At 46.9% G+C, this 14,510-nt stretch overlaps 1 protein-coding gene across 19 annotated transcripts in view; it reads left to right on the forward strand.

Annotated features, from left to right (window-relative positions):
• SLC25A48 (solute carrier family 25 member 48) overlaps nt 1-14,510 on the forward strand; it is a 309,466-nt gene that overhangs the window by 255,276 nt on the left and 39,680 nt on the right. For 16 of the 19 annotated variants that reach the window (NR_146141.2, NM_001349336.2, XM_006714550.2 and 13 more), the window contains exons 1-2: nt 216-446; nt 7,969-8,012. Coding sequence is in view for 15 of the 19 variants with exons in the window: in NM_001349336.2 (NP_001336265.1) it covers nt 401-446; nt 7,969-8,012 (90 nt within the window). In the remaining 4 variants the exon portion in view is untranslated. Of the gene's footprint in view, nt 1-215; nt 447-594; nt 819-7,968; nt 8,013-14,510 lie in introns of those variants that run through there. The other 3 variants (NM_001349335.2, NM_001349345.2, XM_047416805.1) reach the window with 2 other exon arrangements.

The following is a 14,510-nucleotide window of genomic DNA, read 5'->3' on the forward strand; positions in this document are numbered from 1 at the left end:
TCTGGATGGGCGGCTGGCACTTTCAGTTCAAAGGCGCTGAGGCTCTGAAGTTGGCAAGGAAGAGGATAACCCGGAGAAGGGAGGACTAAGAGAATTTCACTTGATGACCCTTGCCTCTTTGTGTCTGGGATGAGCCGCGCGGAGCGCACCCTTATCCACCCAGAGTGCTGTGCCTTTAAGGTCCACTGGGGGCGTGATGTCAGCCGCCCTCCGGCACTTGGAGAGGTGAGCGCGGCAGCCCGCGCAGCCGGTGACTGGGGGACTGGGTTTGGAGTAGGACCTGCGGCGTGCTCGAGACTCCGACTTCGGTCTTGCGGCGCGCTCGCGCCCGCGGGCCATGCCCCACTGACTCTAAGTGGGCACTGCCCCGGCTCCGGGAGGGCGAGACCGAGCGCCGGCCATGGGAAGCTTCCAGCTGGAAGACTTTGCGGCGGGCTGGATCGGAGGTGAGTGTGCTTACCGGGGACCCCCGGTCAGAGAGAGCGAGCCTGGCGGAGTTTGCCTCTATGCTCTGAGGAAACTTTGCCTCTGTGCGCTGCCATCCCGCTCCCCGTTGTGCGCGCAGCCTGCTTTGGGGAGTGCCCGGCCCCGAGATCCCCCTGGTGGTCTTGCAGTTGCCAGGGCTAAATTCTGAGAGCTTCACAGCGTTTCGGGCTGAGCTTCTGATTTGCTCATTAAGTTAGGATCCGTGGGACTTGATGAGGTAATGATTAAACAGCTCGTCAAAGCCCACAGCCAATGGAGGCTCCTGGCGGCGCACACACCCTTCAGTGACCTGGTGCACACCTGAATTGCGGACGTGGCTCGCGGGAACTTATGTATGAGGGTAGCGCTTGGCTGCTGATCCCGGGGCGCAGGGTGGTGGGAGCCAGGCTTCGAGATTAGGCCGGCCCAACGGGGCGTCCCGACTGGAGGGAGCAGAGCTCTCACAGCAGGGAGCGGAGCGCCGGCTGCAGGTGCCCATTGCCAGGCTGCGAGGAGCACTTATTGCCTTCAGCCGCCGCCAACCGTCAGCCATCGCCTACCTCCAAGGCCCCTTCTCCGGGCACTGTTGGGTCTGCTGATCCCTTCGCCACAGCTCCCGAAGCCACTCTTTTACTGGGCCTGGGATGGGTTGCCTGGGCGAGAGTTGCATTCATTTCCTTGCTTCTCCATTTTTCTTTCCAATTGGTCTATCCCTCTTTTCTCAGCTATTAGGAAAGGGGGAAGTTTGAGGGACTTTGCTAATTGTAAAAAAAAAAAAAAAAAAAAAAAAAAGTCTTTCTTTGGACCCATCTAAAAGGGTTATCCTAAAAGGGATGTTGGCAAATGTAGCCCCTCACCAAAGGGGTGAAAAAATAAGATGAAAAGAACAACAAACCAGATTGGATCCCAACTCCTCCCCTCCTACCTAGCAGGAGACCACCTCTCTCCCGAGACCGGTGGCTGCAGGGCCCTGCTTCACACCTTCCTGAGCAGAGGTGGCTCCTTTCACCTTGAGTAAGTCTGTTGGCACAGATGCCCTTGGGTGGGGCTGAGACCCGCCTCTCCTAACTTTCCCAGTTAGGGGGCTGCAGCCTGAGGCCCGCTGGGCATATCCAGGTCCTTTTTGACTGGACAATTATTCCACCATTCAGCGGGGCAGGCAGAGAGAGGAGACACTTCCGTGGGCTGCCCCTTAAATAAGCAGACCACCTTCGGTAGGGATGCAAATGGCTTGGTTTGAAAAATGCCCTGGAAGGTAGGGCTGAGTCAGAGTAGTTCCAAGACTCTGATACCCCTCCCCATCCCCAAACGTGATAACATGTGAACCCTCCCCGACTCACAGCAAGTAGGGGATTTTTGTGCTTTATTCTGGTCCTTACTTTGGTGATGTTATTGAAAGTAATGGCAAAAATCGCAATTACTTTTGCACCAAACTAATAACATGGCTTTTTTTTTTTTTGGCTTCCATGAAATGATGGTAAGTGTTTACTACACTTGAATACTTACTAGGTGCCAGGTATAGTTTAAGTGCTATATGTATTCTTTTAAAACAATTTTATCAAGGTTTATTTTATGTATTATAAAATTCACCCATTTCAAATGTACAATTCAATGTCTTTTAGTAATTTTACAAAGAGGTGCAACCATCACCATAAATTTGTTTTAGAACATTTTCATCCCCCAGTAAGATCCCTCATTTGAAGTTGAATGCTGTTCCCTCTCCTTAATCTCCTTTCTGTAAATTTGCCTTTCCTGTATATGTTATGTCAATTGAATCTTGCAATATGTGATCTCTTGTGTCAGTTTATGTATAGTTCTTTAATTATTATAACAACCCCAAAGAGGTAGGTACCGTTGCATCCTTATTTTACAGATGAGGAAACTGAGATACAGAGAAATTCACTGACTTGCCTAAGACCATGCATCTAGCATTGGCACCAGGATTCCAACCCAGGCTGCCTGGCACCAGAATCTGCCATCTTAATTTCATCTTAACTCTTTCTGAACAACCTTGCATAACAAAATTTTGCCCTTTTTTTGATATTATCCCCCCCCCCACCCCCCCCCCCCACACACACACACATTTTGTTTGAGATTTTACTGGTTTGTGAAGTGCCAAGGTCTGGAAATCACTGACCTTATAATCCCATTTTTTTAAATCTCAAATCCCCTGCTTTCAGATGGGTGGGCTAATAAGTGGCAGGGAGATGTTGGCCCAAGGCTGGATCTAAGCCTGCCCTGAGCTGAAGGATGTGTGCACTCACTATGGGGGAAGCCATGGAGCCTGAGGACCAGCGCACCTCCCCCCACTACTGGGAAGGGTTAATTACTGCCATCACCTCTCTGCCTCTGCCCAGTTTAGTAGGTAGGAGGGGATAAGAGGGGACAGGTGGTTCTGGACCCAGGGAATCATTGTTCTGGGATTAGCTGGTTTCTTTGTCCCTATAAATATCTAATATTCCAGGAGCCCTTAGCTACCTGGTTAAATCACCTCTACTAACACAGATATTTCCTTCCTCCTCAGTGTTCTCGGGAATTTGTCTTTGAAGAACAGTTTCCCTTTCAATTTCAGTCACTAACTGCTGCAACAAGGCTGATACGGTTTGGCTGTTTCCCCACCCAAATCTCATCTTGAATTGTAGCTCCCATAATTCCACATGTCATGGGAGGGACCCCTGTGGGAGGTAATTGAATCATGGGTACAGGCTTTCCCATGCTGTTCTCATGGTAGTGAATAAGTCTCATGAGATCCAATGGCTTTATAAAGGGGAGTTCCCTACACAAGCTCTCTTTTTCCCTGGCACCATGTAAGATGTGACTTTGCTCCTCTTTAACATTCTACCATTATTGTGTGGCCTCCCCAGCCATGTAGAACAGTGAGTCAATTAAATCTCTTTCATTTGTAAATTACCCAGTCTCAGTAATGTCTTTATTAGCAGAATAAGAATGGACTAATACAGTAAGTTGGTACCAGTAGAGTGGGATGTTACAGTAAAGATACCTGAAAATGTGGAAGCAACTTTGGAACTGGGTAACAGGCAGATGTTGGAACAGTTTGAAGGGCTCAGAAGAAGACAGAAAAATGTGGAAAAGTTTGGAGCTTCCTAGAGACTTGTTGAATGGTTTTGACCAAAATGCTGGTAGTGATATGGACAATGAAGTCCTGGTTGTGATGGTCTCAGATGGAGATGAGGAACTTGTTGGGAACTGGAATAAAGGTGACTCTTGCTATGTTTTAGCAAAGAGACTGGTGACATTTTGCCCCTGCCTTAGAGATCTGTGGAACTTTGAACTTGAGAGAGATGTTTTAGGGTATCTGGTGGAAGAAATTACTAAGCAGCAAAGCATTCAAGATGTGATTTTGGTGCTGCTAAAAGCATTCAGTTTTATGTATTCACAAAGATATGGTTTGGAATTGGAACTTATGTTTAAAAGCGAAGCAGATCATAAAAGCTTGGAAAATTTGCAGCCTAACAATGCAATAGAAAATAAAAACCCATTATCTGGGGAGAAATTCAAGCCTGCTGCAGAAATTTGCATAAGTAACAAGGAGATAAATGTTTATCACCAAGACAGTGGGGTAAATATCTGCAGGGCATGTCAGAGACCTTGGTGACAGCCCCTCCCATCACAGACTCAGAGGCCTAGGAGGAAAAAATGGTTTCCTGGGCTGGGCCCAGGGACCTCTGCTCTGTGCAGCCTAGGGACTTGGTGCTCTGTGTCCTAGCCACTTCAGCCATGGCTGAAAGGGGCCAAGGTACAGCTTGGGCTGTGGCTTCAGAGGGTGCAAGCCCCAAGCCTTGGCAGCTTACACATGGTGTTGAGCCTGTGGGTGGATAGAAGTCAAGAATTGAGCTTTGGGAACTGCCATCTAGATTTCAGAGGATGTATGAAAATGCCTGGATGTCCAGGCAGAAGTTTGCTGCAGTTGGCTGCAGGGGTGGGGCCCTCATGGAGAACCTCTGCTAGGGCAGTGTGGATGGGAAATGTAGGGTGGGAGTCCCACACAGAGTCCCCACTGGGGCAATGCCTAGTAGAGCTGTGAGAAGAGAGCCACCATCCTCCAGACCACAGAATGGTAGATCCACTTACAGCTTGCACCATGCACCTGGAAAAGCCACAGACACTCATTGCCAGCCTCATGGGTATTATAATTTTTTATAAAATTATTTTTTAAAAAAGAAACCCCATTTCCTTTCTCCCTCAGTTTCTTCCCTGATGGTGACCTCTCAGAGCACTTTCCTTTGCAGTGGGGCATGCAGATGAGCTATGTTGATAGCATTTGCTAACTCCTGGGAGACACTCATGCCAGCAGCTGGGAGGAAGGCTGTACTCTGCAAAATCACAGGATGGAGCTGCCCAAGACCATGAGAACCCACCTCTTGCATTAGTGTGACCTGGATATGAAACATGGAACAAAGGAGATCATTTCAGAGCTTTAAGATTTGGTTGCCCCACTGGATTTCAGACTTGCATGGAGCCTGTAGCCCCTTTGTTTTGGCCAATTTTTCCCTTTTGGAACAGGTGTATTTACCCAATGCTCGTACCCCCATTGTTTCTAGGAAGTAACTAACTTGCTTTTGATTTTACAGGCTTATAAGTGGAAGGGACTTGCCTTGTCTCAGATGAGACTTTGGACTGTGGACTTTTGAGTTAATGCTGAAATGAGTTAAGACTTTGGGGCGCCGTTGGGAAGGCATGATTTGTTTTGAAATGTGAGGACATGAGATTTGGGAGGGGCCAGGAGTGGAATGATATAGTTTGGCTGTGTCCTCACCCAAATCTCGTCTTGAATTATAGCTCCCATAATATGTCATGGGAGAGACCCATGTGTCATGGGAAAGACCCAGTGGGAGGTAATTGAATCATGGGGGCGAGTTTTCCTGTGCTGTTCTTGTGGTAGTGAATGAGTCTTATGAGACTTGATGGCTTTATAAAATGGTGTTCCCCAAGCTCTCTTTTTGCCTTCTGCCATGTAAGACATGACTTGCTCCTTCTTCACCTTCCACCATGATTGTGTGGCCTCCCCAGCTATGTGGGACTGTAAGTTGATTAAACTTCTTTCCTTTATAAATTACCCAGGCTTGGGCATGTCTTTGATAGCAGCATGAGAACAAACTAATACAAAGGGCTTCTTAATCTAAGTGGCCTTAGGGCAGCCTTGGTTCTCTTCAAATTGTACAGGTCTTTTGAGTGTGTGTGTGTAGGTATTTTTTTCTGTGAAAAGGTACAGTGTATTCATCACTTTTCCAAAGAGGTCTTCTTTTAAAAAAATTCTATGGTGACATCACTCACATTTGAGCATCCTATAGGTGTCAGGCTCTCTGCTAGGTATTTTATATGCATTACTGGATTTCATTCTTACCATGGAAGCAGGAGGTAGGTGCTGTTATTATTCCCACTCTATGCATGCTAAAAGTGAGACATAGAGAAGTTAAGTAACCTGCAGGTAACTGAAAAGTTTTCAGGTTTTTTCTTTACACATACCCTACCCCGCTTTTTGAGCTGAAATTAATATAATAGAAAACCATTTGAAAGTGTATAATTCAGTGGCATGTATTACATTCACAACACTGTGCAACCATCACTTCTATCTAGTTCCAAAACATTTTTCTCATGACCAAAGAAGATGCTGTACGCTTCAAGAGTCACTCCCATTTCCACCTCTTCCCAGTCCTGGCAACCACTAACTTAGTTTCTGTCTTTATGGATTTGCCTATTCTGGGTAATTCATATAGGTAGAGTCACACAATACCTTGCCTTTTGTGTCTGGCCTTTTTAATTTAGCATAATGTTTTGGAGGTGCATCTATGCTGTAGCATGCATCAATAGTTCATTTATTTTTATTGCCAAACAGTATTCCTCTGTATAAATATCCCACATTTTGTTTATTCATACACCAGTTGATGGGCATTCATACACCAGTTGATGGGCATTTTTGGCTATTGTGAACAATGTTGCCGTGATGTGTGGTACTTGTACTTGTTTTAGTATCTGTTTTCTGTTATTGGGTATATATGTAGGAATTGAATTGTTGGGTTAGGTTGTAACTCTATGTTTAGCTTTTTTGAGGAATTGCCAAACTGTTTCCACCATGGCTGTATGATTTTACATTTCTACCAGCAATGTACAAGAGTTCCAATTTCTCTACATCCTTGCCAACAGTTCTTTTCCACTTTTTTTCAATTGTAGCTATCCTAGTGCGTGTGAAGACGTATCTCATTGTGGTTTCAATTTGCATTTCCCAAATGACTACAGATGTTGAGCATCTATTCATGTGTCTGTTGGTCATCTGTATATCATCTTTGGAGAAACGTGTGTGCAAGTCCTTTGCCCATTAAAATTATTTTAGTCAGTTGTAAGAGTTCTTCCTATATATGAATACTAAATCCTTATCAAATACGTGATTTCCACACATTTTCTTCCATTCTGTAGGATGTCTTCACTTTTGTGTGCAAAAGTTTTCAATTTTTATGAATGTTATTATTTCTTGTGTTGTGTAGGGGAGTTAGAGATAAACTCCAACCCCCTGTTTAGCTCCTACTGGGCTCTTCAGCTGAATATAAAAACCAAATTGACACCAGACTGATTAACAAGAGAAAAATAATACAGATTTTATTAGTTTTTCATGACATAGGGATCTTCACAAGAGAGTGAAGTTGGGAGAAGTGGCCAAAGCAAGATCTTTTCATACTTTTTAGACAAAGAGTGATCAATTTGAGAAGAAATGACAGGACAAAGAAAATCTGGCTAGGGTGGTGGAATTTTGCTAGAGGAGTCACTAGGAGATGTGTGGGTGGGGGGTATAAAACAGGTGGAAGATAAGGATTACTTCATTAAGTATGAATTCAGGGCCACTGCAGCCTTCAGTTCTGAATCCCAGCTAATAAGGGCTATTTTCTTACCCTGGTATGGAGAGGGTAACCCTCCCAGAGGAATCTTTATTGCTTGCTGCATGCAGGAAGAGGCAGGTCAGTTCAGCCTTTCAGAAGTTATGATTTCTCAATCTTTTCAACTTGAAATAATCAATGCACCCATCTGCTATATTTTGGTATGGCATGTCCTTCACTCCTTCGGTTGGTTGTACACTTGGTATCATATCTGAGAGTCCATTGCAAATCACAGGTCAAGATTTTTTTCTATGTTTTAGTTTAAGAATCTTATAGTTTTGCTCTCCCATTTAGGTCTTTGATCTATTTTGATTTAATTTTGTATATGGTATGAGGTAGGGGGTCTATCTCCACTCTTTCACCCTTTTGCCTGTGAATATCCACTTGTCCCAGTCCCTTTGCCTTCCTTTTATGGAGTGATTGCTTGTTTTACTCTATTTTCTCTGCCTTCCTTGGTGCATGGGCCAGTGCCTAGCACATTGGAGCCCACCCACTCCCCCTACCCCAGCAATTGACCGTTGACTAAACAAGTGCCTGTTTTGTCCCAAGAGCTGGCTGGTGTAAGCCAGGAGTCCAAGGGCTGAGTTACTAGGCATTCTTTTTTGATCCACAGGTGCAGCCAGTGTCATCGTTGGCCACCCTCTGGACACAGTCAAGGTACAGTAGCCATGTTTCCCATTACCTCTTAAAAAGAGGCATGGAGCTGACCTGCCTCTGGGACTATTCCTGCTGTTTCTAATCTCTCAGAGAGTCTTCTGCCCAGGGCAGACTCTCTGTTGCCAGTCCAGGGGGTGTTGGGTGCCAGGAGGTCTGGTTTAGGTTCAGAACCCTCAGAGGTCCAGGTAGAACTTTAGAAGTAGATTGGAGATGGGAACCTATCATTACCTGATGATGCACATGGGTGTGAGGACTCTGGGGCTGTTGGGACCTTCCTGGCATTGGGATTATCCAAGCCCCTTGTTCTGGGATGTTCCCTAGAAAGGGGAAGGGGCTCATCTCAGATCATACAACAAGTTAAAAACTGAGGTGCGAGATGCTGCAAAGGAGCAGTCTTTCACCCCATCCCCACCCCTGCACCCGTCCCCAGTGGTGAGCAGAATTTAGAGCTATGCTCTGGGAACGGAGCCATAAATTGTGCCTCCTCACTGCTGACTGCCTTCCAGATCCATTTCTAAAGCTCTGCCTGGATTGTGCACAGAGAGGAGCCTCACAGACCGTTTTCAAATGGCTGCTGCAATGTCCTTTCTCCCCATCTTGCTCCCTGTATGAAAATGGACCCTCTCCTAGGTCAGGGCCCATGCTCACCCTCTTGATGGGAAGATCAGCCTACCTGTTTTAAATATTTGAAGAAACACTTTAAGTAGTAAAGGGGGGCGTTTAGGCTCCCCAGGGGACATCCCAATGCAGGGGGATGGCAGGCAGGACCCAGTGCTGGGAGATGGGCACACAAAGTGGTGAGTGAAGCAGGCTTAGTCTACCCTCCTGAAATGGTATAATCTTCCCATTTTATATAGGAGGGGGGTAAGGTGCAGAGTTTAGGAACCTGCCCCAGACCTCAGAGCCGGGCATTGTAGTGCTGGATTCAAAGCTCCAAAGTAAATTTTACTTCTGGGCTGACCTAGGCTTTGAGGACTCAGGAGTGAGGGAGGCAGGCAAGGAGACAGATATTTTTAGGACACTGATGGACAATAATTAGGGAACACAACAGATGCACAAATCAGTTATGGACAGTGGTAGGTGCTGGGGGACAATAACACAAGGTGATGGCAAACACAGTGATGAGAGCCTTCTGTATTTTGAAGAGTCAGGGATGGCCTCTCTGCCAGGGAGGCAGCTAAGTTGAGACTCAGATGACACAAAGAGCCAGATACGCAGAACTGAGGTCAGAGTGCTATTCACAGAGGGACAAGCTAGTGCAAAGCCCCAAGGGTGGGAACAGGCTGCGATGTACATTCTCCAGGAAAACAAAGAAGGCCAGTGTGTGTGTGGTGCACACAGTGAGCTGAGCAAGTGGTGTGGTGCAGGTGCTTGGAGAGGCCAAGGGAGAATGGGATTGCAGAGTGTGCTAGGGGCCTTGCTGCGTGCCTCCTGCCAGCCCTGCACACCCAGGCCCTGGGTCCCAGAGCCCACCAAGGAGGGCTGTGCAGCAAGTTCATGTCTGAAGTGGACTTACTAGCATATCACGGCTGAGCCATTGCTGCCCAGAGTTAGGGCCCATGTCTGGCACTCCCCAGGGCTGTCCAGAGCTAAGCCAGGTCCTTAGAAACCTTTTCCACCTCTGTGGTAGCTGCCCACTGAGCCCTCTCCACCCTCCATGAGAGCTGGCTAGTTACCGTGCCCAGGCCTGGCTTCCCTAGCCTGTGGCCTCTGACTCTCTCCTGTTCAGAGTGCACCTCAGCACGGGGCTGGGCACAGCCTCCCTGGGTGAGTACCTGCTGAATGAGTGGCCATCTGGGACCTCAGCCAAGTTCAAGGTGCCTGCTGCATACCTCTCCAGGGCTGGGCCTTGGGGAGACTTGGAAGACTCAGATGCACTCCCTAATGTCTCCATGAGAGTGCTGGTTGTTCCTGGCAATTCTCACCCTCCCAAACTCACCTAAGTCATTCCCAGTCTGTCTTCTCCAGGGTTCATTCAACAAACCAGTTCACAAGAATGGATCAGTGGGGAGGCAGCATGGCCAAGCCAGAAAGCATGGGCTTTGGAACCACGCAGGCTCTAGGTGTGAATCCTGTTTTTGCCATTTCCTGATTGCATAGCCTTCTGTTAAACACGATACAAATCCTTGGCTTACAGGGTCAGTGTAAGATTATAAGCATTGTTTCTGGTACCTAGCAGGGATTCAAAATCGGTAGCTGCTATTTTTATCAACATCATTCGATATATATTAAGTTTTGCTCAGTTACCACATCATGTGACAATGTCCAGCAAGATTTTAACCAAAATTGGAGAATGTGTTTCAATTCTCTGATTTAAATGGTATTTATAAATTTCTCTTTGGGGGTCAGTGGGACACCTCAAAAGATGAACAAGCATTCTCCAAGTGGCATGCTCAGTCCCTGACCATGGAACTGCCTACCAGAGGCCTAGCATCTCGGCAAGGAAAAGGGCTGTTGTTTCTGTAAAACCCAGGCTGACTTAATATAAGTGAGTTGGTAACAAGTCACTGTTGGGTGTGAGGGATTTAATGGTAAAAATTTGAGGGTATGAATTAGTTTCCTTGGGCTGCTGTAACAAATAACCACAAACTGGGTGGCTTAAAACAGTAGAAATTTATTTCCTCGCAAGTCAGGAAGCAGGAAGTCCAAAACCAAGGTGTTGATGCCTTCTGGAGGCTCCGAGGGAGAACCTGCCACATGGTCCTCTACCAGCTTCCAGTGCCTGCTGCAGTGCTCGGCATTCCTTGGGCAGTGGCTCTGTAACTCCAGGCCCTGCCTGTCTTCATATGGCCTCCCCTCTGAGTCTCTGTGTGTCAGATCTGCCCATCCTTCCTAAGGACACTAGCCATTGGATTTAGCACAATTTACAGGAGTGGAGCTCCCTGGCCACAGTTGCCTGAAAAGGCTGGGCTTTCTCCCTTCTCTGCACTCTGCCCTGAAGCTCTGGAGGGAAGCCCTCCTGAAACATGACATCCAGTCTTTGTTCAGCCTGAGTGCCCCTGTTGCACTCCAGCACACCTTCTTTCCTTCCTTCTGGCTGATGTTTTCTCAACAGACCCTGTCCACCAAGAAAGGGCCAGGCAAGTCTGAATAACTGGAAATCCAGTCCTGGCCTTATCACCTACTCTCCAGTGACCTGGGCACAGCACTTAACCTTCCTGAGCCTTGAATTCCTTGTCTGTAAAGTGGGCAAGTAGCACCTCCCTGGTGGGGCTGTCATGAAGCTTGTTCATGGAGGTACTGAGGATACAGCAATGAGCGAGATGATGCTACTATCAAGAATAGACAGGCTGGAGTGCAGGGAGGCAGACAGTCACTTGTCTAGGGTCCGGGGACTCACCTGTGGAAGAACCCGGCTACAAGGGCCTGTGCTGCTGACCCAGGTGAAAGGCTTATTCCTGTGCCCTTGGCTGCGTGGTCTTAGGTTGAGGAGGCCTGGCTGGTGCCTATGTCTGATGCAGCGTGGCTAGGTTTTCTAGTCAGGGCTTGGCTGCCTCTAGACCAGGGGTCCCCAACTCCTATACCGTACCAGTACCAGCCTGTGGCCTGTTAGGAACGGGGCTGCACAGCAGGAGGTGAGCAGTGGGTAAGTGAGCATTACTGCCTGAGCTCTGCTTCCTCTCAGATCAGTGGCAGCATTAGATTCTCGTAAGAGCACAAACCCTATTATGAACTGCGCATGCGAGGGATCTAGGTTGCCCGCTCTTTATGAGAATCTGATGCCTGATTATCTGATGGTTTCACCTCAAAACCATCACCCCACCCTGGTCTTTGGAAAAATTGTCTTCCACAAAACTGGTTCCTGGCGCCAAAAATGTTGGGGATCACTCTTGTAGACCACTGGGACTGGACTGCAATGGACAGGCTTTGGGAGGGGGTGTCTGCCTCCTTCTCATGAACATCCCAGTGGGGGTTCTTGTTTTGCTTCAACATGCTCCCCACAATTCTAGGCTGCCCCCTCACTACCCAGTCCAATCTGGGGCATGCATCTTGGCCCAGGACAGCCAGGGCATGGCTTGCTCTGCCAGGTCAGGGGCAGGCCAGGCAGTGGCTCAGCTCTGAGCTCTGAGGCTTCAGCCACCTCACCTCTGACACTGAGCACTCATCCTCTTCTCCTTGGGTTTTCAGCTCTGGGATGCTGAGAGGTTCCAATGGGAGAGAAACCATGAACTGGAGTAGCATGAGATTCACAGCACCCCTGACATGAAGCTCATAGTTTTGGGCTAAATATTGCATGAAGGGCCATGATCTTCAAGATGTATCCACTGCATTCACACAATCCAGGGCTCCCATTCTCTATAAGGACCAAAGAAAGTGTCAGAGACCTGAGAAAATAGTATAGTATATAAGAAGAAAAGTACAGAATCAAAATTAATGCTGCACTAAATATTTACAAAATATAACCTCATGTTAAATAGTCAAATGCAACTCAGCTTTCATGGAGGTCTATGTGGATGATATTAATATGGGATGTACATTAAATATATACAATTATGCTTAATTTTATCTTACTTGATACAATATGAGCAGGTTTGCAAAAGCGAAAGAGTCCAAAATCTAAGCAAGTCTTAAAATGGCCTTGATTCTACATAACCAGGAGAGACGAGAAAGATAATGGCAAGACCATCAATTCTGTAGGCCCAAAATGAGTGCTCTGGACACCTCAGATTTGGAGATATTTTCCATAATAACTAAAAGCACTGAAGCTGGGCTAGGGAACCAAGCTCTCTTCTCTCTTGCCTTTCATAGGTGTTCACTGAGTATCTATTATATACCTAACACTATGTATAGGTCAGAACCCAACACTGAGGGCAGCCACACCTGGTCAAGAGCTTGGACTAGACTTGTTTTGGTCTCAGTAGGCTAGAGATTGGTGGGAGTAGCAGCCTCTGGGGTCCTGTGGAGTGAAAGGCCTTGGGGATGAACAAAACGAGGGGGCCAGGTTCCTGGGGAAACCATGTGAGGCAGTGTGGTTGACTGAATAATGGTCCCCAGATGTGCCTGTGTCCTCATCTGTGGAACCTGTGAATGTCATCTTATATGGCAAAAGAAAACTTTGCAGGTATGATTATGTTAAGGATCTTGAGATGGGAGGATGATCCTGGATTATCAGGGAGGTTCTTAAATGTAATTACAAGTGTCCTTATAAGAGGGAGGTGGAGAGAGATTTAGATTTCTTCCCACAGAAGAGGAAGAAAACAATGTGACAACAGAAGCAGGGAGAGAAGAGGAGCCATGATGCTGGGGCTCCGGGAAAGAGGGTGAACCCCAAAAGCTGGGGGAGACAAGAAAACACATTCTCCTCAAGAGCCTCCCGAGGGAGTGCTGCCTTGCCAGCATTCTGATCTTACCCCACTGAGACTCATTTCAGATTTCTGGTCTTAGAACTGTGAGATAATGCATTCATGCTGTTTTAAGCCATGAAGTTTGGGGTAATTTGTTACAGCAGCAATAGGAAACTAATATAAGTAGTCAGTTGTGTTCATCTGTAAGATGGGACCAGTATCCGTGCCTTAGAGCATCTGTGGGATTTAGTGAGGTCAATTTTATATGATGGTCAGTATGCAGTTGGTGCATAATAAATGCCTTCTCCTGCTATCACTGGGGGCCCTAGAGACTTGGGCTTTGCTGCTGGCCTCAGTGCCAGCCTACCCGAGTGCTCAGCATGCCTGACAGACCTTTGCTCCATGGCTTTGAAATTATTCTGTGATCCAGGTTTGGCTCTCAGGTTGAGTCACTTCATGTATTATTGGCTTGAGTGACTCAACCACTCAATTTTCTTAGCAGGAATTGATTACTTGTTGCAGGGGGTGGGTGGCAGTCAGCCATTTGTGGATTCACTTTCCAGGGACAGCCCTGGGAGAGTGTTGGACCTCATGACAGCCTTACATGGGGCACAGAGAGAGACCTGCACCCCTCCACCACCTGGCCCAAGTCATTGTCCTGGTTGTGGACATCCCACTCCGAGGTAGGCCTCTGTGGTTCTGCTTAACAAGAAGACCTTGAAGGCCCAGTTCTCATCTTGCTGCATTTTCCAGGGAGTCTCCCCCACTGAATTTAAAATTACCTTTTCCTTCTTATCACCCAGCTCTTCTTATCCTTGGTTTATTTTCCTCTGTAGTACTTGTCTTCATCTAAAATATATATTTACTTGGGAATTATTTTTTATTGACCATCTTTCCTGACTCCACTAGGTTGTAAGTTCCATGAAGGCAGACTCTGGTTTCTTTACTGCTGAATTCCCTGAGACTGGAATAGTGCCTCCAATAAAATAGGCCCCGAACAAATATTGGTTGAGTGAGTCAATAAACACACTTCTCTGATTATGAAAGTAATAATTATGAACAGGGTGATACTATTTCCTATATTTTTCCTATGGCTACATATGTTTATAAAACTATTCAAATGGATGCTTCTCAAACTCTTGGCCACGTTATTAGCCATGGTCATAAACTCAGGAGAGGAGTAGGGTGAGAGCGAAGGTGGGTCCAATGAAGC

The sequence above is a fragment of the Homo sapiens genome, chromosome 5 (assembly GCF_000001405.40).
Source record: "Homo sapiens chromosome 5, GRCh38.p14 Primary Assembly".
NCBI classification, from domain to species: domain Eukaryota; kingdom Metazoa; phylum Chordata; class Mammalia; order Primates; family Hominidae; genus Homo; species Homo sapiens.